Below are 24,744 nucleotides of genomic sequence, written 5' to 3'. Positions count from 1 at the left end.
TCTAATATAGTGTAGAGATTTTACATGTTTTTATTGCATGCTTAGAACACTTGCAAATTCAGTAGGTCTAAAATATAATTTTGACCTTTCCTTAAAGCATACATATCATTATCAAATCATCTGAAAGAAAATCTGAAGCATAAAAAAGGAGAAAAAAATGAATTTTTGAACGAAAGAGTCCTTTTTTCATTCAATCAGCAAAAATTCACTTTTGCCTTTTGTAACCATTTTGGAAATCTAGTTGACTAACTAGAGTTAGTTCAATTCTCCACATTTTTATGTTTCTTATCTAATTTCAAGACAAAGGCAGAAAAAGGTTGTGTCTGGGCACAGCTGCAACACACAGCATGAAATGAACCCCAGCAGAGTGGCCTAGTCACCAAGAGCAGCCAGCACATACCAAATTGGGAGTGATCAATGCATGATGTACCAACTAGAGAGTCTAATTAAATAACAGTGGTTAATTACTAATTAGTATGTGACTTATGTAGACAGAAGTACTTAGACTTGTCAGATGTTAAAAAGAACATTGAAAAAAATCAAAACTCTGTCATTTCAATGATCTATTTAAAAATGATGCATTAGAGGTTTTTTCTGCTATCATTTGCCTAGCCAAAACACACATTGAAGAACCTGTTTTCTCTTTCTAAAACAGATGTCCTTATTCTATTTAAATAATAACATTACCTTTGATGTCATGAAAGACTATAAAGCCTAAAATGTTATAATATTTTGAAGTGGTGGAGAGGGTAACATAGTGTCTAATATCCATTTAAACACCAGTATATTTGAAATATATCATTATTAATCAGCTGGATATATTTTGTTCTTACTTCTTACATGCTTATCAAGTGCATACTTAGAAAGCCCTGGTTTCAACTAAAAACCCCTCTAAGTTAGCCAACCCAGTGACAAGCACTCAGAATACACAAATCTATTTTCCAAGTGATTCATGGTCCCTAGTCTTTGGGGTAAGAGGAGGGCCAGCAGATCCTTGCTTTTAGAAATCATATAAGATTTCTTTCCACAACTGTGAGACTTGGTGGGTTTGGGGTTTTTCCTTTTTTGGCATCTATAGAAAAAAATACCATCTGTCTCATCACCAAAAAAAAAAAAAAAAAAAGGAAAGAAAGAAAAGGAAAAGCTTGATATGGCATAGTGATGCCAACCTTTACTTTCAATTATTTATCACCTAAAACACACACACACACACACAGAAGGCTTCATAAATAATGCTTTCTCCTTTTGTGAAAAGTGTAGGTGGAAATACTACATGTATCCTGCTAAATGAGCAGATCAGATTGATGCTCATCTTTACTAAACATTATTTTTTCACAACCTCACCAAAAATCAAAGTAATCATACCTTTCCCATCTCCTTGGTGATAGTGACACATTTGCCACCTTAAAACAAAAACCCATAAACAAAAGATAACACTCTAAAATCCATGACACATTTGCCTGAAAGGAGGCTTAAGGATGGAGGGACTATTATATAATTTATCAATTTATATCTGTGGCCAGAATAACACTCATCAGAATAATCAAGGATACTTAATTAAAATGCACTTTTCTGAGTCCCACCTAACACCTCACAGAATCTGTATTTTTGGCAGGCACCCAGGTGATACTGATGCAACCTAAATTATAAAGGTGGTTTGTGGGGCTCAGGGTACTCTCCCAATACTTTGCATCATCCACAAACCTTCAGGCACTCTGTTCACCATTGACCTCTGCCTACATTCCCATTAGCTCGTAAAAGATGAAAGAAAACTGTGACTTTGTATTTCCACTAAAGAATAAAGGGAAGTGTGGCAAGAAATCAGGGCAAATTAACTGTCAAGTCATGTATTGTTTCCCATCTAGTTTAAAACACTCATTGATTGAAATGTAGACTTACGTAGTGAAAGCCCTAGAGAAAAAAAATTAAATAATCCCAAAACAGTAATTAAGTTAGACGGAAGAAAGCTGAAGAAAGAAAGAGGAAAGGGGAACCATTCCTAGGGCAGGTGGGACACAGGGAGAAAGGGAGACTCTGCTGTGGCCATAGGGATGGTCCCGTTTCCACCTGGGAGGTGAACTGAGTGAATTCCCAAAGTTAGGTCTGCAAGCAAACAGTGCTAAATTACCCTTGCTAGCTTGGAACTAGGAGGAATGGCTTCACCCAGAGGCTGGGACTGGCTGGATATCTGGATGCCTTTAAAGAAAAGGGAAAGAAGCCAAACATGCCACTGAACAGCACCAGGAGGAGAAGCAGCAGTAGTGAGAGGTAGTGGACATAAGAACAAAGCAGCCAGGTGGGGTTCAGGGGAGGCAGAACCGTATGAACCCCACTCCACTAAAAACTGAAGGGAGTTGGGAGGAGGGGGTAGTGCTATCAATCCATTCAACGGGGGTGACCCACAGATTAACAGTTTATTCCTGGGTATTTTGTTTTATTCTTGTTTTTGAGACACAGAGATTGCAACTCTGTAATATTTCCAAGCTAGTGGGTTTTTGTAATTAAGCCAGTTCACACCAAAATAAAACTCTCTACATCAAAATTTTCTTAAATCCCATTATATCTAAATGAGTTGTATAGTCTTATTTGTTGTTTGGTAAATCCCATTATATCTCAATGAGGTGTATAATATTTGTTTTTGTTATTGTTGCTTCCCTTCACATAACAAACAAATCTGTGTCATATATATATTTAACAGACTATTAGAGGTCAACTTGGGAAATTGTTATACTACTACTTATTTTATTGTTTCTATTAGGAAAATACACTCTGAATCCTGAATTCCGAAGAGTTAATTTATAAGCACATTTTTGGACCAGTACATGTCGGTAATTGAGGACTTCCTGTACAACTAAATTCTGGCAAGTTCTAGCTCCTATAGGTATCTTTGCTACAAATGCTTATCCACAGTGCCCTCTAGCGATTTTAATTCTCATTTCAACATGGACAAAAAAAAATTTGAGCAAAAGCTTTTCCATCTTATGAGATGAACATATGCATGTAAGTCTCAGAATCATACAATCCAAAAATTTTAAGTCCAAAAAATACCAAGAAATCTTATTTGAGTATATTATAGATATATATATTCAAAAATCACTGATCACCATGACACAAAAGAAATATGTTCTTCATGGAATCGATAAATAAAAGCCTTCCTGGGTTTTGTTCTTTTTCAGTTAAGAATATCAATATGGATACAATGACTGACTTAAGACTTCTAATTTAAATTTTCTTTTTCACTTATTTTTTTAAGTCCAGCATCCCCTCTTTTAGATGATACACTGTTCTTGGACAGATCTTGTAGACAGTACGAGTAATAACAGCCAAAGAGGAAAAAAATTTCCTATGGTAACTACATCATCTGTGTCTCAAATCTCTGAGTTATATATTATTACTGTAGCCACCATTTTTTTTTTCTGAACCAAGTTTGCTAAGGTTTTTCAGGTGCCTCTCAACAAATAAAATCTCCTAAGTGAGGCCAATCATAGAAATTACAGCAGGCTTGTGCTGTTCTCAGGCTAGATGCAAGGTAGTGTGCCTTAAAGCTTAATTAAATGATATTATTTTCACATACCGATCACAGTATTTCACAGAACATAGAAAAAAAACGGTACAACAAATAGAGGCTATAAGGAAAGATCAGAGTAAGGAGAACAAAGAAAATGAAGGAAGAAAGAAAGAAAAGTGTCAACATAAAAGCACAACACCAAGGGGAAAAAATAGCAGTAACCAACAGATGGGAGATACCAGTGTTCATTTTCCTTGCTACATCTAGGTGATTAACCATATAGTACAAGAGAGTACACCACCTGTGGAATTGGGTAGTGTAACGTATCTTTTGATTATGCATAGATCTACTTATACTTAACAAATAATAGGAGGTTAGGAAGTTTGGAATAAAACAATGCAGTGGTTTTCAAAGTGTTATCCCAGATTTAGGAGCATCAGCATCACCTGGGAACATGTTAGAAATTCTCAGGACATACCCCAGCTATTTCTACCTCGGGCTCATATCCTCTCTGGAAGCAGACACTTCATGTTAGGTTATGAGAAACTCAGCTCCTCAGGCACCTGGCCTACAGTCATCAGCTTCATCTTTCAATCTCATCTTATCCCCCTCATCCTAACCCCAAGGCCTCATCAGGTCTGCTGAGGGAGCATGTCCATACCACCCTCAGTGACAAAGATAAAATGATTCTGTTATTCTCTGCACCACAGTGGGGTGACTGGAACTCTGCAAGGTTGCCATGGCCCGTCTACCTGCAATGGCCTATCTACCTAGAGCCAGTTCAGCTCTATTGCTTTTGTGCTGTGGGGGACAGGGGGACTTCTGAATACGGCTTCCCACTGCCCAGGCTTCACCGTGAAAAGGACACAAGTCTTTCCTTCTCTAGTCCACAGTTGTATCTGAGGTGTCTATTGTTCTCCCTATGCCCCTCCCCTGAAAGTTTGTTAGGTTTCAAACCCTTTTTCAACTTCCAGTATCCACTCCAACATGTCAGGAGTTTAGAAGTTGCCACTCCATCCTAACAGCAAGCAAACAGCTGAGTGATCTGAAAAATCAACAACTCTTCTTAGATCTGTCAGTGAAGTGAAGTCTTAGGGCAAACCCTACACCACAAATTGGAGAGACAGACAGGCAAATACAGAGAATCACAACTTACCAAAGGAGGAATTCATGAGCAGAAACCTCTTCAGGAACCAATGCTGAGGTACATAAATCTGAGCTGCAATTGATAAACTGATGGAGGCTCGGTGTGGACAAGTCTGAGAGCTAAAACCTCCAGGGAACCCAGCCACGGAGGACCCTCACCCTTCTGTGAGTCTTATCTCCAGGCCCTCACAGCGACTATCAGAGAAAAATTCCCCTGTACTTTCAGCAGTGGGGAAGGAAGAGGAACCATTTGAAATATGAAAGAAAGGATATTCTGTTCTTTGCAAGGCCTGCCCTCCAGACCCTAACCTCTTGGAATTTTATCAGAGCCTAACCTACCTGGGGGAAGGGAAATACCTAACTCCAGACCACCCTAGCCATCATATCCAGCCTAAGTTGGGGAAAAACTGTGAAGCACTGGTGAAGTTCAGAGCCCAGGGCCACAAGCTCATTAAAAGTCTGAGACCTAGACTGGGCGCGGTGACTTACACCTGTAATCCCAGCGCTTTGGGAGGCTGCAGGCTGATCACTTGACCTCAGGAGTTCGAGACCAACCTGGGCAACATGGCGAAACCCCATCTCTACAAAAAATACAAACATTAGCTAGGGTGTGGTGGTGTGAGCCTGTAGACCCAGCTACTTTGGAGGCTGAGGCGGAAGGATCGCTTAAGGCTGGGAGGTTAAGGCAGCGGCAGCAAGCCCTGTTCACGCCATTACTGGACATGAGCTTGGGTGACAAAGTGAGACCCTGTCTAAAAAAAAAAAAAGCAAGAAAGAAAGAGAAAAAAGAAAAAAAGTGTGATACCTAATCAGAGGAGTACAAAAGACTTCCCCTCCCCCCACACCCTACCACTGCATCACTGAAGGCCTATTTAGTGCACTTCTTTCTACCCAGTACATCATGTCCTCCTTTCAACAAGAAATTACAAGGAAAACAATTATAAAGCAAAAACCCCAGTTTGAAAAAACTGAACTGGTATCAGAACCAGAGTCCCATATGCCAGGAATGTTGGAATTGTCAGACCAGGAATGTTTAAAAACTATCGTTAATATGCTAAGGGCTTTTATCGAAAAAAATAACTTGCAAGAACAGATGGATAACATAAGCAGAAAGATGAAATTCTAAGAAAGGATTTTTTTTAAATGCTACAGATCAAAACAAGTGGATCAGAAATGAAGAATGCTTTTGATGGGCTCATTAATAGATTGGACATGACTGAGGAAAAAAATATCGGAACTTTTATTTTTGAGAATATGTCAATAGAAATCTCCAAAACTAAAAAGCAAAGAGGAAAAAAAAAGAAAATAAAAAGGAATATATAAGAACCGTGGGTTAACCATGAAAGGTATAACTGTGTAATGGGAATATCAGAAAAAGAAGCAACAGAAAAAAAAAAAACAAAAACAGAAACAATATTTGAAGCAACAATGACTGAGAATTTTTCCAAATTAATGTTAGACAACAAACCACAGCTCCACGATGCTCACAGAACACCAGGCAGAACAAGTACCAAAAAAAGCACATAACACCTGGGCAAATTGTATTCAAACTGCAGAAAATCAAAGATAAGGAAAAAAATCTTAAAAGAAAACCAGAGGGAAAAAAACACCTTACATATAAAGGAAAAAAGATAAGAAATATATCCAACTTCCCCTCAGAAACCACGCAATAAAAAGAGACTGGGGTGAAATACAGTGTCCCCCTTATCCATGGTTTTGCTTTCCACGATTTCAGTTGCCCTCTGTCAACAGTGGTCTGAAAATATTAAATGAAAAATTCTACAAATAAATAATTCATAAGTTTTAAACTATGCACCATTCTAAGTAGTGTGAAGAAATCTCACACCATCCCATTCCATCCCTCCTGGGAAGTGAATCATCTCTTTGTCCAGTGTATATATGTTTATATGCTATAAATGTATATAGTCACTTAATAGTCTTCTCACTTATCAGAGAACAGACAACAAAACGAAGTTTGGTATAACACCATAAGATATTCTGAGAGAGAAACTATGTTTACATAACTTTTATTACAGTATATTGTTGTAATTATTCTATTTCATTAATATTATTAATATCTTACTATGCCTAACTTATAAAATAAACTTGGTCATACATATGTATGTATGTATGTATAGTAAGGAATATAGTTATATTACTCTATTTTCATGCTGCTGATAAAGGCATACTCAAGACTAGGATGAAAAAGAGGTTTAATTAAGTTACAATTCCACATGGCTGGGGAGGCCTCACAATCATGACGGAAGGCAAGGAGAAGCAAGTCACGTCTTACATGGATGGGAGCAGGCAAACAGAGAGAGCTTGTGCAGGAGACCTCCTCTTTATCAAACCATCAGATCTCATGACATTTATTCACTATCACAGGAGCAGCAACAGAAAGACCTCCATGTATGATTCAATTACTTCCACTTGGAATGAGAATTGTGGGAGTTACAATTCAAGATGAGATTTGAGTGGGACACAGCCAAACCATAACAATAGTATATACAGGGCTTGGTACTATCCTCAGTTTCAAGCATCCGCTAGAAGTCTTAGAATGTATCCCCTACAGATAGGAGGGACTATTGTAATAAAGGGTTGAGAGAAAGGAACTCTTTTTTCTAGAAAAAAACCTAGAATTCTGTACCCTCTGAAATTATTCTTCAAAAGTGAAAGAAAAATAAAGACTTTCTTAAGCAAGAAAAAAATGAGAAAATTTGTTGCTAGTAGACCTATCTTGCAGGAAATGTTAGAAAAAAGTTCTTCAGAGACAAGGGAAATGATATAGGTCAAAACTTCCAATCTTCATGAAGGAGAGCATTGTGAAGGAACAAATGAAGGTAAAATAAAGACTTTTGTTTCTGTTATTCTTAATTGCTCTGACAATTTGTTCAAAATAACAAGAGCAAAAATGTATCTGATTATGTATGCTCATGTGTATATGTTTAGATACAGTTTTGTATAAGTAAAATGAATGATAGCAATTATACAAGGGATGAGAGGGAGGAATTAGGAGTATCTTATTATAAGGTACATGCACTACCCATCAAGTGGTACAGTGTTATTGGAAAAGGGACTTGGATTACTTATAAATGTATATTGTAAACTCTAGGACAAACACCTAAAAAGGTAAGAAAACAAGCATGGTAATATTCTAAGGAGAGAATATAAAATCATATAAAATAATTTAAACCACAAAAGGCAGCAAAAGTGTGGAACACAAAAACAGAAGCAAAGAACAAGCGCAATAAAGAGAAAATAGACAGACGTCGACCGAGGAATAGTGAATCTGGGTAAGGTCTCTGGGAGGTGGAGGGATAGAATGGGAAAACTGGTCTTCCAGGGCCCCTTCCAAGGCTCCGAAAATCTTGGAGCTTCACTTGCCAGGCATAGTGCGCTTTCCTGACACCGCTTCCCCATGTGGCGCAGGAACAGAGCTTCAATACCCAGAGCAGCAGGGAGACATGGCAACAGAGGGTAGTCAAGCTGAGAAAGAGGAAAGTGGCCTCCAGGGAAGCCAGAGCTTACTGAAGTGCTCTTAGGAAGATCTACTCATTGATATTGTACCAAACCTGATGCACCCTCATTTGTCAGAGGTGGCCCCAGGTGGGTGTCAGTGTCACACACAGGGTTAAAACTGTTCCTAGAGCAAACAATGATGAGAGAGCTGAAGGCAGATGCATACTTGAACCCCCAGATGGGGGCTATGTGGGAGACTAATGGGTCTGTGAGAGAGAACTCCAGTCCCAGTAAGAAGTACACCACATAAATAGAGTATCTCGGCCTGAGGGCACTCACAGGCACTTCCAGACCTTCTGATACGATGAAGCAACTGGAACGCCAGAGGCTATCAGCCTACTTCAGAAATTATGCTATCAGTGATTGAGGCCAGAGATCCACCCAAAAGAGTAGATCTTGGAAATATTGATGTTAGAGCAGTTCCTGACCATTTTGCACAAGGATACCCAGAACTGGGTGCAGAAGCATCATCCACAGAATGTCAAAACAGGCTCTGGTCTTGGTGAAACGCTTGCAGAGAGAACCTGGTCAAACAAAGAATAAGGTCACAGCCCATGAGCTGGGAGAGAAGGCAGTGCTCCTGGGAGGAACAGCAGTGACCCCAGACTTCAAGTATAAACCAGCGGAGCCCTAACCAAAGCGAGTGTTCCAGAAGGAATGTTGGAATATATACTGGGTACTACAAGAACAGCTAGGCTGGAATACTCACAAAGAAACCCAGCCTGTATATGAAAGAGTCTTGTATGCTCAACAGGTTTTAGCCTGTGCTGAGCAGAAAAGCACCAAAGACTGGAAGATGGCATCTCAGCTCATCCTGCCTGAGTCCCAGAGTTTGCTGACATTTGAAGAAGTGGTTGTGTATTTTTCTGAGGAAGAATGTCAATTATTGCATCCTCCTGAGAAGACTTTATGATGTTGTAATGCAGAGTATCTGTGAAGCTGTCATCTCTCTAGGGTTAAAGCTAAAATATGACACTGGAAATGATCATCCTGTATCGGTTTCTGCATCAGAAATACAAATGCTAGGATGCAAAATATCAAAACAGACCAGAATGAAATTGTCCAGAAAACAACAGGCAGGGAAAATCATGGTGATATACACAAGGTACAGAAACAGCACTGAGCTTTTCCAAGGAAGTAAAGAAACTTGCCACTTGTAAACAAGAGCTTCCAAAACTTATGTGTCTTCATGGGAAACACCACACAGGAGAGAAACCTTTTAAATGTCAGGAATGTGGGAAAAGCTTCAGTTAGCTCTGATCTTATTAAGTACCAGAGAATTCACACTAAACAGAAGACCTATAAGCGTCACCAATGTGACACAAGGTTTAGATGGAGTTCAGATCTTAATACGCACTACATGACACATCAAAGAGTAAAACCATATAGATGCTCATGGTGCGGGAAATGCTTTAGTCATGACACAAATCTACACACATACCAAATAATTCATATGGGAGAGAAGTCCTTTAAATGTCATGAATGTGGAAAAAGATTCATTCAGAACTTCCACCTTATTAAACACCAGAGAACCCACACAGGTGAACTGCCTTATACTTGTATCATATGCAGAAGAAACTTTAGTAGGTGGTTGAACCGTCTTAGACACCAGAAAAGCCACAGAAGAAGGAAGGCATGTTTAATGTCGCTAAACTGAGAGTTACCACATAGAGCTTCACCTTAGAAGTGATGAAAGAATACAAAATTATGAGGCACTCGATGATAGCAATCTGTCATCAACAGAACATTTGGGAGGGATAGATCTTACGCTTCAGAAAAAGGAATCTAAGCTGTCTTATTCAGCATTTCATCTTCAGTGCCTAGCACAAGACTTATACATAACGAGTATCTTATAAACAAAAAAAATGAAAGTATAGCTATGAGATATCTTTACCTATCTATCTATATGTATGTATCTGGTTATTCGAAGCTTCCCCAGCCCCAGTCATCTAAATTCTTCCAGTATCAGGTGTTTGACAGATATATAACAGTCAAGACTCATTCTTTATTCTTTGTCAGGAGAGAGGGAAAGTAAGAGTATTTGGGCCCTCTCAAGGGAGCTCACAGAGAATTACTAAGTTAGAAACAGTATTAACAGCTATCATTCAATCTGGGAGGCAGTCTTGGTCCTCATCCAGGTATCTGTTTCTTTGTAGGAAGCACAGATAAGTGGTGAATGGTCTTTTTCTGACTTTCATTATGTAGACTGGATGGAGGCTTTCAAACTGGTGCCATACTGCTGCAGGGCCTAAGGGGAGGCCTGTATTTATGGCTGATCAGCTACAACTCTATTAGTCCATTTTCATGCTGGTGATAGAGACATAACCGAGACTGGGTAATTTATATGGGAAAAAGGGTTTAGTGGACTTACAGTTCCACGTGGCTGGGGAGGCCTCACAATCATGGCAGAAGACAAGGTGGAGCAAGTCATGACTTACATGGATGGCAGTAGACAAAAAGAGAGAGCTTATGCAGGGGAACTCCTCTTTACAAAACCATCAGATCTCATGAGACTTATTCACTATCACGAGAACAGCACCAGAAATACTAGCCCCCATGATTCAATTACCTCCCACTGGGTCCCTCCCACTACACATGGGAATTGTAGGAGTTACAATTCAAGATGAGATTTGGGTGGGGACACAGCCAAACCATATCAATACTATTTAGAGGGCTTAGTACTATCCTCAGTTTCAGGCATGCACTAGAAGTCTTAGAATGTATCCCCTATGGATAGGAGGGACCATTGTAATGAAGGGTTGAGAGAAAGAAACTCACTTTTTTTCTTGAAAAAAGCTAGAATTCTGTGTCTTGTGAAATTATTTTTCAAAAGCGAAAGAGAAATAAAGACTTTCTTAGGCAAGAAAAAAAAAGAGGAAATTTATTGCCAGTAGACCTATATTGCAAGAAATGTTAGAAAAAAGTTTTTCAGAGACAAGGGAAATGATACAGGTCAGAAACTCTGATCTTCATAAAGAAAAAAGGAGCATCATCAAGAAATAAATGAACATAAAATGAAAATTTCTTTTTCTTATTCTTAATCTGACAATCTGTTCAAAATAAGAGCAAAAACATATTTGATTATGTATGCTCATGTGTATATGCTTAGGTATAGTTTTGTATAAGTAAAACAAATGATAGCCATTATACAAGGGGTGAGAGGGAGGAATTAGGAATATCTTGTTATTATAAGGTACATGCACTACCCATCAAGTGGTATAGTGTTATTTGAAAGGGGACTTGTATTACTTGTAAATGTATACTGCAAACTCTAGGACAAATATCTAAAAAGTAAGAAAACAAGTATGTCTCTAAACTGAGGAAGGTTACCATGTAAAACTTGACCTTAGAAGTGATGAAAGAATACAAAATTATGAGGCTTCTAATGATAGAAGTCTGTCATCAATAGAATATTTGGGAGAGATACATCTTATGCTTCACAAAAAGGAATCCACGCTGTCTTATTCAGCATTGCATCTTCAGTGCTTAGCACAAGACTTACACATAGTGAATATTTTATAAACAAAAAAAAATGAAAGTGGAGCTATGAGATATCTTTACCTATCTATCTATATGTATGTATCTGGTTATTCAAAGTTTCCCCGCCCCCAGCCATCTAAATTCTTCAGATATCATATGCTTGACATATATAATGGTCAATACTTAGTTTCATTATTGATTCTTTGTGAGAGATGGAAAATAAGAGTACCTGGGCCCTCTTCTCAAGGGAGCTCACAGAGAATTACTAAATTAGAGACAGTATTAAAAGCTATCATTCAATCTGCATGAAAAACCAAGCCCAGGCCTCAGGGAATTTTACTCTGTAACAGCAAGAGAGGATTCAATGTTTGCCTTGGGAAAAATGCCCCATTCTAGTTGTTTCTCTCCTAAGTACCCACTACCACAATGTCTTCTGTCAAGGAATTACAAGTAGCAAGGGAATGTCTGAATGCAAGGACAGATCTAGGTACCTTGCAAGCACTTCATATCTCCCTTCTTGCCGACTCTGTCTACACAGACATACAAAATGACATGAAGAAGAAGGCAGTCTTGGTCCTCACCCCGGTATCTGTTTCTTTGCAGAAAGCACAGATAAGTGGTGAATGTTCTTTTTCTGATTTTCATTATGTGGACTGGATGGAGGCTTTCAAACTGGTGCCATACTGCTGCAGGGCCTAAAGGGAGGCCCATCTTTATAGCTGATCCGCTACAACCCTATGTATTAGTCCGTTTTCATGCTGCTGATAAAGACATACTCGAGACTGGGTAATTTATATAGGAAAAAAAGGTTTATTGACTTACAGTTGCACGTAATTGGGGATGCCTCACAATCATGGCAGAAGGTAAGGAGGAGAAAGCCATGTCTTACACAGATGGCAGCAGGCAAAAAGAGAGATCTTGTACAGGGTAAACTCCCCCTTATATAATCATCAAATCTTGTGAGATTTATTCACTATCACAAGAATAGCATGGTAAAGACCCGCCCCCATTATTCAATGACCTTCCACTGGGTCTCTCCTGTAACATGTGGGCATTGTGGGAGTTACAATTCAAAATGAGATTTGGGTGGGGACACAGCAAAACTATATCACCTATATCACCCTCTATGTCTGAATCCTCTGCAAGAAGGCCTGGAGATTTTGCAAAACTGATTTATTGAGAATGGCAAGGACAGCGCTGTGACCTCTTAGCCTTGATGCACAGCTAATACCAGCAGGAAACATCCTGAAGTGTCAGAGCAAAATAAGGCATGTGGCCTAGAGTGATGACCCCAGTCAGAGCAAGGCTGGATGGAATTGTTTTCTGATGTTATTGGTTTTCTTCTTTACCCTATTAGCCAATGTGACTATCTGTTATGAAAAGATAATGTGATGTCAAAGGAAGTTGGAAGGTATGGATTTATGTCAGATCCTGGTTTATAATGTTGGCCAAGGCTTCTATATATTTAGTATTTCATAAAATTGTACTTTTTAATGAAAATGACGTTTCACGTTAAATTTAGACATTAAACAAAACTTTGTTACCAAATCACCCAGAAATGGCCAATGTTCACTTATTTGCAACAGAGGTCTTCAGGTATTTTTTCTACCAAGAATCCGTTCTAATCTTGTTTACAAATTTGTAAAATGAGCATAATAATTCCTACCTCCTAGGGCTACTGTGAGAATTAAATGCACACATGTGAGCATGCCTGACAATGACTGGCCACAGTAGATGTTTCCTAAACATTTGGAACTTTCTTCATTCTTCTTTCAGCTAGTTATTAGAAAATAAGCTTTGTCTACTACTTGTCCGGCTTTTAAGCATCCTTCATTAATGAGTTTTCCCACATTTCTAGCTGGTATTTAGGCCCACTAATAATGGTCAGAATGGTAGCCTTCTGCATGATATTTCTTTCTGGAGGTGCTCCTCTCTAGTCAGCCTGAAACAATATACTGATGTCCCAACTCAGCTAGGTATACTGCTCATGAGTAACAAAACAAAAATATACTAGAAACCCCCAACTTGACATTCCTGAAAATGGAGGGGAGGTGATGGCTGGGGGTGGAATTTTTGTAGACAATATTTATGCTCTTAGGTGCATCCTCAAGCCAATAAAGTAGAAATGAAAGAGGAAAGAGGTGATCATATAAACTGGCCACTAAAAAGAATGAAAATGCTAAGCCAAGAGGAGGAAGCGATCTGGGAGGAAAAGATCTCATTATATTCCCAAAGGCTGAAGATTATGACTGTGCCACCATCCTCCCTACAATGATCTGAGATTATGCCCTTGAAATTAAAAGGGGAAATTCAACTTCCTGCAGAGGGCTCCATTCTCTTTGTGTAAATCCATGTTTGCTGGCATCCCGGATAGATGCTAGCATACCATCATTCCAAAGAATTTATTCATGTAGCTTTTAGAAAGAAAGGAAGTTAACTCAAAAATTCAAGGATGTACTAGATCAATGGACCCAGCAGTTATTGCTCCTCATGAGGATCAGCAAAGTCCCCAGAAACAAGTCAGCAAAAGAGCACTCCATTTTCCCAAAGCTGCTTACCCCTGTTATAATCCCTGTTAGCTTCAAAGCTTATCGTGCAGGTCCATCTACACTGGCATCATTACCAGCAGGGTTCGAGAGCAGGAAACATGGTTCTATTTGAGAGATCAATTATTTATGGCAGGTGGCAGGAAATGATTACCTTTAGATGTGTCTGAGCAGAAACAGAGAATTGAGATTTGTTATTCCAAGTTCAGATACTCCACCATTATTTGAGTACAAGGGCTCCAGAAAAAAGCATATTCTCATCCCTGAGGTTGTAGAACAGGACCAGAATGTCAGGGCTTCTGACTGACTCATTAGTGCCAAGTCTGCCCTTTCAGCCCTCTGACACAGTCCCCCAGGGCCACATTGCCTATGCATCCTGACTACTCATGTCATTTCCTTGCCATCACAGAAAAAGAGAAAAATCATATGTCCATGGAGACATGGGCAGTAAGGAAAGAAATGGCAAAATGAGATAAAGGAGAAAGATGTCATTCTACTGCATATCTGCCCACCACCTCCTCAGCACATGGCTAAGAGACATAAACTCCATTGCCTTTCTGAGGACACAAGAGAAAGACAGCATACAAAAGCTCAGGGACTAGAGAAATGGACAGATTATTCATGCATGGGACAGAGTGAAGAGGCGGAATGCTCCAACTCCAGATCCCACAGGCAGAGATGGAACTGAAGACCTGAACCAAGTGTGAGGGGGTGTGGGTTCATATTTCAGTCTCCCAGAGAAGATGGGCTGAGCGGAGAAAGACAAGAAAGGGTCTGTGAGAGCAGAGGACTGCAGGCTTTTTCCACCTGTGTGCATTTGTGAGGCCTGAGGTTGGAAGTCAGGAATTCAGGCACAGAATGCCATTGTTTGCGGTGGCTGAGGCACAAGAGCATGTGAGTGGGTCAAGCCTACCCTGTGCTAGATTCAGGTCTCCATCTTTCCCTCCCAGCAGACAATGACATGGCTTCTACCCATGGGCCTTTTAAAGTTTCTTCTAGGTTTTTCTCCACTCCCAAGAAACCTCTTCCTCCTTCATTACCTTGTTCCCTCTGCCACAAGCCAATCTTGCTCCTGCCACTTTGCCACTTCCATTTTCCCAGGGCAGTAGAGGAGGAGGGGGCCAGAGGCAGGGCCTAGTGAGTGTTACTGTGTTCCACTGTTCCCAGAAGAATGGGCACAATAACTGAGAATGGCAGGCAGGGTTGGGGAGAAAAGAATAAACAAAAAAGAATGATGGCCTAGTCTTTGTCAAGTAAGTTAAAGGCCCTCCTTGCTACCTCCTCTTTATTCCTTGAAAAATAGTAAATGGCAGGTAGGTGGGCATGGTGATGACCATGTTGGGGAGGAACCTAAAGGAGGGAGCCACCTACAAAGTCCTGTCCCTGGCTCAACAGCAAAGCCCTCCCATTCTCATTCTTGTCTTCTTTAACTTCCTCTTCTCCGTCCATGCTGCCCACTCCTTCCTACCACTGTGGGTTCAGACAAGGGACACTGGTAGAGAAGGAAGAAGGGACAGGGAGCCAGGGAAACTCTCAAGGATCGATAATCATGAGATATGAGGGGAGAGGTCAGAAGCCATGTTTGAGAGCAGTAGAAGGACAATGTCACCCTTAGATCTGGACAACCCAGGGAAAGGAGGGAGGGAAGGAGGCCAGGTCAGCTTTGGGAAGCAAACTCCCAGCTCCAGGGCTGGGAGTTAGGGATGAAGTAGGGAGGAAGAGCTAGGCAATGCCTAGAAAGATTTCCCTTGTCCCTCCTCAGGCTCTGGGTATCTCAGGGTGAGACTTTGGATGACAAAAAGGAACTGACCCCAACCCGAGAGCTGCAGCAGACACTTCAGAGGGACTCTGAGTTTGGTAGCAAAAGATCTCATCCCTAAAGGGGGTTGTCTCTTCAGATTGTACCCGTGCATCTGCCCATCTCCAAGGCCTCCATTAGGGAGGCCCTCAGCTTCCATAAAAGGGGTTATTCTAATTTTATTTCTTCACCTTGGGCCCATTCTGCTGTAAGTGACAAGAGTGTAAAAACCTTATTTTGGTGGCATTCTCTATGTTGAAGCCTCGTGCAGGTGTTCTCTTGGCTGTCTCCTATAAGTCCAGGAATCCCTTCTTAGGATGGTCTGGGCTTTTTGTTGTTGTTCCTCTTGGAGGGTTCCAAACCTATTCTCTCAGGATATCCCCTCAGCAGAGGTTTCACTCCTGAATTCTTTAAGAAAGAGCTGGCCTGTTAACAGGTGGTGCCATGTCCTCCAGGAGCACTTCTTGTCCCTGTATACAGTCTGATTGCCCCTCCTCTACCCATTCTGAAGCAGGAGAGTCACAGGAAAGGATGGACACTGGGAAATTCCCCTGGAAAGGCAGAATCCTCAAAACATCCCAGCTTGAGATTTCTGTGCCAAATATTCAGTAATTTTTCTCAAATACAATGGTCACAATGTCACTCTTCCACTCGTAAAGCTGCAACAGCTCCCAGTTCCCATACCCTTGAAGTCCCACTCCCTCCTTCAGCCTCAAGGCCTTACTTCGCCTTGCCCTGGATGATAGCCACTCTCTCTCCTCTGTTCCAGCTCACATATACTAGATGCTGAACCAGGCTGTGAATTTGTCTTCAATTATGCTTTGTTTTTAGCCCCTAATATTGCCTCCTGACCTGTCCAAATCCTTTCTTTGGCATCACACCCTGTTTCCTCCGTGTAGCCCCCACAAACTCACTTCATAGTGTCCTCTTAGAACAGCTTCTGGAATCCAGAATTTGATTAAACACCTATCAGTGGGTCCCTATACCACAGTTGCTACTTCAATTGGTCTGGAGTAGGGCCAGAAAACTGGCATTTCTAACAAGTTCTCAGGTATGCTGATGTTCCAGCAACCCCACTTGGAGAACTACTATCTTAGAGCACCTCTCCTGTACTTTCTCCAGAGGGGAGGGGTTGCCTTAGAAGCCTAGTAATTCTACCAAAGGCTGGCCCAGAGCTAGGTATCTATATACACTCTCTGAATAGATGGGCCTGACCATTTTAGGGTTAAATGTGAACTTAATATGTACCTTATTTTCATCCAATTGGCAAATCTGCACCAATAATTAAGAGTGGTACAAAATCTCCATATGTTCCCTCAATGTAGAAGCTTCCAATGCCTGTCTTCCTAATTTTCCTGATGTCTCCGGGACTGCCAGAAGCCTTCGAGGAGTCGAAGACCTCTGGGTCTCCATGAGCAGGAACTCATGAACTAGCACTTCTTCCATCTGCTTTTCTGGGCCCTTGCACATCAGTCACCACAACTTCAAAGCTGGATACATAGTGAGGACCTCTGGGATCTGGTGACCTCTAAGGGTGGAACTGACCTCAACACCCAGGAATCATCTCTGCAAACTGGTTTTTCTCTTTTCTAGTGCTGTGTCTCCTCCACTTTGCTACCTGTTGGCCCTCTGCAACTCAGCCCACCTTGCACGCTGTCCCCACTGAAAACCGACCCGGGAAGAGGTCACAGAGAAGCCTGAAATGATGTAGCAGGGAAGTGCAGGGACCTACTTCTCTCCAGGGAGATTCAATTTTCTCTGAACACTCTTAGCCCTTGCTTCATTCTGGAGGTGGGCAAGGGCTAGATCCATCCAGTGTCCCGGAGGTACAGTTGACAGTGTGCTGAGTAAGACTCAGCCCAGTTGCCCAGGCCTGTCCAAAGTCCTCTGAGAAAGTTGGGGCTCCCTCTAGTGGTTTCAGAGAGTCCTCACCTCTGGGGCCTGCAGCTCCTCAGCCCCTACAAGTCAGCAGCTGCACAGGTGTTTAAGACCCAGAGAGGCCTCTGGAGATGCAGTCTGAGGAGCAAGTCCTGAGAAGTCCTTAGTCAGCTGTATTCAAACAAGGGTCACTTGCCTCTGGGAGTACACAAAGACTGCCCCGGGAATAGTGGGCATGAAGAATTCTAAAGGAATCTATTTTCAAATCCTCAGTTCCATACATACTTCTTCCCCAGACCTATCCAAGAGAAACCTCGAGGGAGGTTCTCTCCTGCCTTCCTTTCACTAACCTCTTCCACCACTTTCTCCTTCCCTGAACTTACCCGGGTACATTGCCCCAGAGTTTACCACCTCCCAGGAGCCAAAGGGGCTTTCAAAATATCCTAGCCCAGGAAAGGAGGAAAGGCTGGGAAGGAAATCCTGCATAGCAAATGATTTCCTGTGTTTTCCTTTCAACAGAACTGAAGAAGGACTTCATCAATTAGTCAGCTGATCATTGGGCAAAATTGATGATAGTTCAGGATTTAATTTGTGCCATATAACTCTAAAGGAAATTTAAAATTTTGAATGACCTTATTATAAGAAAATTCCTTTCATTCCCATTAACATACCATCTCTGAAAATAAGAAATAGAGATTTAATTGGTGGTGAGCCAAGCTTTATTCTGGAAATAACTAATATTAATTCATGGTATGAACTAATTTCAAAAATCCATCTATATCCAGCCGGGCACGGTGGCTCACATCTGTAATCCCAGCACTTTGGGAGGCTGAGGCGAGTGGACTGCTTGAGCTCAGGAGTTTGACACAAGGTTGGGCAACATGGTGAAACCCCGTCTCTACAAAAAAAGAAAAACAAATAACAAAAATACTAGCTGGCTGTGGTGGCGTGTGCCTGTAGTCCCACCTACTTGGGAGGCTGAGGTGGTAGGAAACACTTCCGCCCAGGAGGCAGAGTGAGTGAGCTAAGACTGTAACACTGCACTCCAGCCCGGGCAACACAGCCAGACTCTGTCTCAAACAAACAAAAACCATCTGCATCATTAGAAGTGGGATTTTTAATACATTTTAATTTTTCCTCATAATTATTTAAATGTATAACATTTTTCTGGTTTGATCAAAAGCATTTAATAACTGTAATAGCTCAGTCAGAAGAAACATAGCACTTAGCCTCATGGTCACAAGAAAGTTTTTCTATTTATATGCATTTTAAAAGAAACCTTTTTGGAAGCATGACACACAAACAGGAGTATTTAGTGTAAAACTCAGTGAATTCTTACTAAGTGAACATCCTTGTAATTATCATCCAGATCAAGAAAAATAACATACAGCAGCATTCTAGCATTCTAGGAGCGGAATGACTGGAATATTGATATATGTTCACCTTCTTTATAAACTGCCAAAGTGTTTTTCAAAATGTACCAATTTACATTCCGAATAGCAGTGTATGAGGGTTTCCTTATCCTTGTCAACATTTGAGATTGTCTTTTTCATTTTAGCCTTCCTAGTGAGTGAATTGTAGTACTGTATTGTGGTTATAATCTGTATTTCCTTGATGATCAATTAAGATGTGTTTTCATGTGTTTGGGTATTTGAATATTCTCTTGTGAAGTGCCTGCTAAGTCTCTTGACCATATTTCTATGTCTATCTTTTTTCTTACTGATTTGTTTGATTCTAAATTTGAGTTGTTAGATACATATACTGCAAATATCTTCTCTTACTTCCTGGCTTGCTGTTTCACTCAGTTAATGATGTCCCTTGATGAAGGGAAGTTTCAAGTCATAATGTAGTCCGATTTATCAAATATTTTCTTTCATTATTAGTGCTGTTGGAGTTCTGGTGAAGAAATAACTGTCTACTCAAAATCATGAAAATAATTTCCTATGTTTTAATTTTCCAGTTGTATTATTTTACAAGTTTAGACTTACACTTCATCTGGAATTGATTTCTTAAATAAAATGTGATATGTCCAAAATGAATAAATAGAAAACAGTAACAAATATGGTAGACATTAACCTAACTATAACAGTAGTCACTTTAATATCAATGGTCTAGAAACACCAATTAAAAGAAAGATTATCAGGGTGTATCCAAAACCAGGACTCAAATATATGTTGTCTACAAGAAACCCACTTTAAATATAAAGACATATAGATTAAAAGTAAATGGATAGATAAAGATATACTATGCTAACACTAATTAAAAGAAAGTTATATTCTTGGCTGGAGCCCTGACAACATTTCCAGTCCTTGCCTTTCCCTCTACCAATGTCTGGATGATTTTGTTTCTGGAATTCCCAAGCAGTAATTTAAGTCCTGTGCTTGCAGGCAGAACCACTATCCTATCTACAAAATAATCTAGGTATTGCACCAGTTGTGAGGGATTTTTGCTATAGATTTTACCTTCCCTAGTTGATTCCATAGCGCTTTAAACACTGATTTGGACTTATAGCCTAGCAGCCAGACACTCTACTAGACTAGTAAGAACACTATCTGTTTATCTCCCTCTCCCTATGCAGTTGTGAGAACCAGCTCTATCACAGAATCTGGCATAAGTGGTAATATTAGCATGAGTGCATGCATGAACTTTAAAAGGAGATTGAACTGGATTCAAATCTGGGCACCAACACTTACTAGGTATGTGATCTTGGGAAAGGTCAGAAAAGCTCTCTGAGGCTCAGTTTCCTCATATACAAAATGGAGAGAACCATAACAACAATGGCATATCAATAATAAGAATGGTAGTAGGAGGCAAAGAGGAGGTGGGCCTACAGGGCTTTATAGTAAAACTTAGATGAGATAATATTGATTTGCCTAATTCATGCGAGGCCCATGCAAGCACTCAGTAAATACAATGCCAGTGACAATGGTAATGATGATAATGAAAATAAGAAATTACAGATTCTATATATGGTGTTCTACATAAGGTGTTCTTATTTTTAGAACTTAAGGGGAATAGAATTGGAGGATGCAAAGGAAGAAGCAGAAAGAAACCAGTCATCTTTAGCAAAGAAATTGATAACTAGTCCCAGTTAAATATGTAGTCTGAACTTGATGGACAGGGTATATATTGAAAATAGAAGTGGAGATATTCAAGTAGAAAAAAAGGAAGATCTCCTTATTGTTTCTTATTAAGTCCCCTGTCCTTATACCAAAAAAATAAGAAGAAAAATGGAAACAAAACTAAAACAAGCAGGTACCTATGCATCATTTCACCTGTTCTTGCTGCTATTTCTGTTGGAGAGAACCACATGGAGAGAGAAGTTCCAGAAATACTCTGCTTCAAGACTATGAATCTTAATGGTTGCATATGCAGGTTTTGGAGTCAAATATATCTGGGTTCTATGTTAGTTCTACCACTTTCCAGCTTACCCAATCTCTCAGGGCCTCAGATTTTTAATCTTTACCCTTCTAAAGCAAATGTATTAGAACATTTTGTAAAATGCCACAGAAATCCAACTCAAACTAGCGTCAACAAAAAGAATCTACTGGCTTAAGACTGAGCCGCCAGAACAACTGGAATCACAGGCACTGTCTGGATAATTTTTCTGACTCTTGTATCTGCTCTCTATATTGTCAACTTAATTTCCTCTTACTGACACCAACAAATATGCCCAGTGAAAGTTCCCACTGCTTCAGCTACCAGGGAGGTTCCAAGTTAAAATTTTTTTCCTAAGGTAGTGCTCCACTAAGCTCATTTTGAGTCAAGTGCCCATCTCTGATCCGACTAAAGACTGCCACTGGGATATGGTTATACAAGATGATGGCTGCTCCTATAGTAACCATAGTAGACAACAGAAGAAAGGATCATGCTGGGAGAAAATCCCACAGACATTCCCTAAATTTATTTATTTATTTATTTATTTATTTATTGAGATGGAGTCTTGCTCTGTGGCCCAGGCTGGAGTGCAGTGGCGTGATCTCAGCTCACTGCAAGCTCCTCCTCCCAGGTTCACGCCATTCTCCTGCCTCAGCCTCCCAAGTAGCTGGGACTACAGGCGCCCGCCACCACGCCCAGCTAATTTTTTGTATTTTTAGTAGAGACAGGGTTTCACCGTGTTATCCAGGGTGGTCTTGATCTCCTGACCTTGTGATCTGCCCACCTCGGCCTCCCAAAGGGCTGGGATTACAGGTGTGAGCCACTGGCCCCAGCCAATAATGTTTCTTTAAAATTTTAATGATACGTTTCAGTGAAAATGGATTCATTAACTTTTAAGTGAAAATGAAATAAAACTGTATCTAGGAAACAATCTCAACTTTAGAAAGCATAATATATACCAAAATCACTGTAAGAAAATGCGCTAAAACATTAATAGTGTTTACTTGGATAATAGAATCATGAATAACTTTCATTTTTTCTAAATGTTTTACTTGTTCTATATTTTTTCTTCAATAAGCTTGTATTACTTTTACAATCAGCATGAAACAGTAAAAGATTTCTGTTGTCATTTTTTTTTAACATTACCTATATTTGTTTCAGGTTAAATTCTGCAACACATTAAGACAGGCTCATACATAACCCTAGTTAAAATCCAGGGGAATGAGACAAAGTTCTACAAGCTTTCTTGTGACTTCTACAGTAATTGTGAAAGTTGTCCAGAGAATATATGAGTTTATTTGGAGACAAAACTCCAGAACAAGGAGTTTTCAGAGATGATTCATTAAAATCACATCAGTTGTTAATTTTATAATCTGGAAATTTATCATATTACTGTTATTGTTTTGGTAATGTGGGGATTATTAGTCTGTTTTCTTGTAGCCTGTGATATCTGAGCATTCAGTATTCCACAGATCATACAAAGTCCAGATCACTAGCTAGCATTATCTAATGGGAGGGAGGTGAGAGATGAAAGACTACATATTGGGTACAGTGTATATTGCTCAGGTGATGAGTACACTAAAATCTCAGAAATCACCACTAAGAACTTTTCCATGCAACCAAACACCACCTGTTCCCCAAAAACTATTGACTTAAAAATTTTAAAAAACAAGAAGACAAGTAATCACTAGCGATGGCTTCTTTACAGTGCTTCAAAGAGTATGGAGAGAGAGTTCCAATCTATCTGGTAACAACAATGTCAATCCCTGTGTAAACACTAAGGCATCTAAAATCAATCACCTTTAGGAGATACCAGGTTTTACAAAAGGTATCTAGTCAGAGGGAAAAAAACCACAGGCTTCAGAGTCAAAGTTTAAAGGCCAGTTTTGCAAGCTCTGCGGTCTTCAGCAAATCCCTTAATTTCCTTTTTTTTTTTTTTTAAGACAGAGCCTTGCTGGAGTGCAGTGGTGCAATCTCGGCTCACTGCAAGCTCCGCCTCCCGGGTCCAAGCAATTCCCCTCCCTCAGCCTCCTGAGTAACTGGGACTACAGGCATGCACCACCACACCCGACTAATTGTATTTTAGTAGAGATGGGGTTTCATCATATTTGCCAGCATGATCTCGATCTCCTGACCTCGTGATCCACCCGCCTCAGCCTCCCAAAGTGCTGGGATTACAAGCATGAGCCACCACACCCAACCGAATTCCTTAATTTCTGAAGCTTCAATTTTCTCACCTATAATAAAGATAATGCTTCTAACATATAAGATTGCTGTTGGATTGGATGAGATAACACATGATATTCTCATTATCACAGGTAGTGCTTCTAGCACACAATAGGCACTCATCAAAAGTTCACTTCCTCCTTCATCTCCCATCCCAATTCCTCTTCCCAGTCCAACGAAGACCATTTTCCATCAAACATAATATGTTAAATAAATAAATGCAAAACATGATTTCTCTTGAGCATATATATTCACTATGAGAAAAGGATAATTATAAACCTTTCTTTCAATTAATTGAAAAGGAATAGTAGCTATAAAATACACTACTAGATAAAAAAGAAAAAACTATATGAAATGTTTGGACCATGTAACTATTGCTAATAAACAAAATCCTGGATTTTACTACTGTTTTGTTGATGTTGTTTATTTGCATGTTTGTTTTGCTTTCCAATCTCTGATCCTCCAAAATAACAAAGCTTAAAGATTGCACAAAAGTTATTCCATGGGAAAAAAATTTTGGCCATCATCAAATGCTAGGCTTAAAATCACTTAGGAAACTCTTTTTTATTATAATGAGAGATAGGAATATAAGATAAAGACTTTTCTTGTTGAATCATGATATTCTATAGTCACCAAATATTTTAAGGGGTCTATTATTAATAAACATGCCTCCATTCCTCAGAGATGTAGCTTACTGCCTTAGTTCTGACTGGAGAAAGCACAAAAATAACAATGTTTCTTTACCTCTGGAAAGAGCATGGAAACTTTTAATACGATGGTCCCTTTCCTCAAAAACAGACAAGTTGCAAGTATGAAATTTGGCATTGCTGACCTGAACCAGAAGACATTTATAGGCCTTCCATGGACTCAGGTTGGTCCCTGACTTAGCAGGATTAAGAACATCAAAATATTCTACATTAACATCTCCATTCTCATGAAAACATTCTCATGAGCTTTGAAAGAAAATAAAAATCTTGTCCAGACACAGTTGCTCACACCCATAATCCCAGCACTATGGGAGGCTGAGGTGGGTGGAACACTTGAGCCCAGGAGTTCAAGACCAGCCTGTACGACATGGCAAAACCTTGTCTCTACAAAAAATACAAAAATTAGGTGAGTAGGGTGGCACATGCCTGTAGTCCCATCTACTGAACAGGCTGAGTTGGGAGAATCACTTGAGCCCTGGAGGTTGAAGCTGCAGTGAGCCAAGATTGTACCACTGCACTCCAGCCTGGGCAAAAGAGTGAGACCCTGTCTCAAAAAAA

General features: G+C 40.0%; 1 protein-coding gene and 1 pseudogene across 10 annotated transcripts in view, besides 1 other annotated feature; one reads left to right on the top strand and one right to left on the bottom strand.

The window, feature by feature from the left end:
• The window catches only part of TMEM117 (transmembrane protein 117), a 603,307-nt gene that overhangs the window by 380,659 nt on the left and 197,904 nt on the right, over positions 1-24,744 (bottom strand). The window lies entirely within an intron of this gene.
• On the top strand, positions 7,917-10,465 carry ZNF75BP (zinc finger protein 75B, pseudogene; annotated as a pseudogene).
• Positions 18,000-18,049: an enhancer, noted in NCBI's record as "active region_6220". NCBI's record gives its function as "activates an Ori minimal core promoter by ATAC-STARR-seq in GM12878 lymphoblastoid cells {active_cell/tissue: GM12878}" and the evidence as "EXISTENCE:reporter gene assay evidence [ECO:0000049][PMID:35858748]".

This window comes from Homo sapiens, chromosome 12, assembly GCF_000001405.40.
Source record: "Homo sapiens chromosome 12, GRCh38.p14 Primary Assembly".
In the NCBI taxonomy this organism is placed as follows: domain Eukaryota; kingdom Metazoa; phylum Chordata; class Mammalia; order Primates; family Hominidae; genus Homo; species Homo sapiens.
This window is presented reverse-complemented; position numbering and strand designations above follow the sequence as displayed.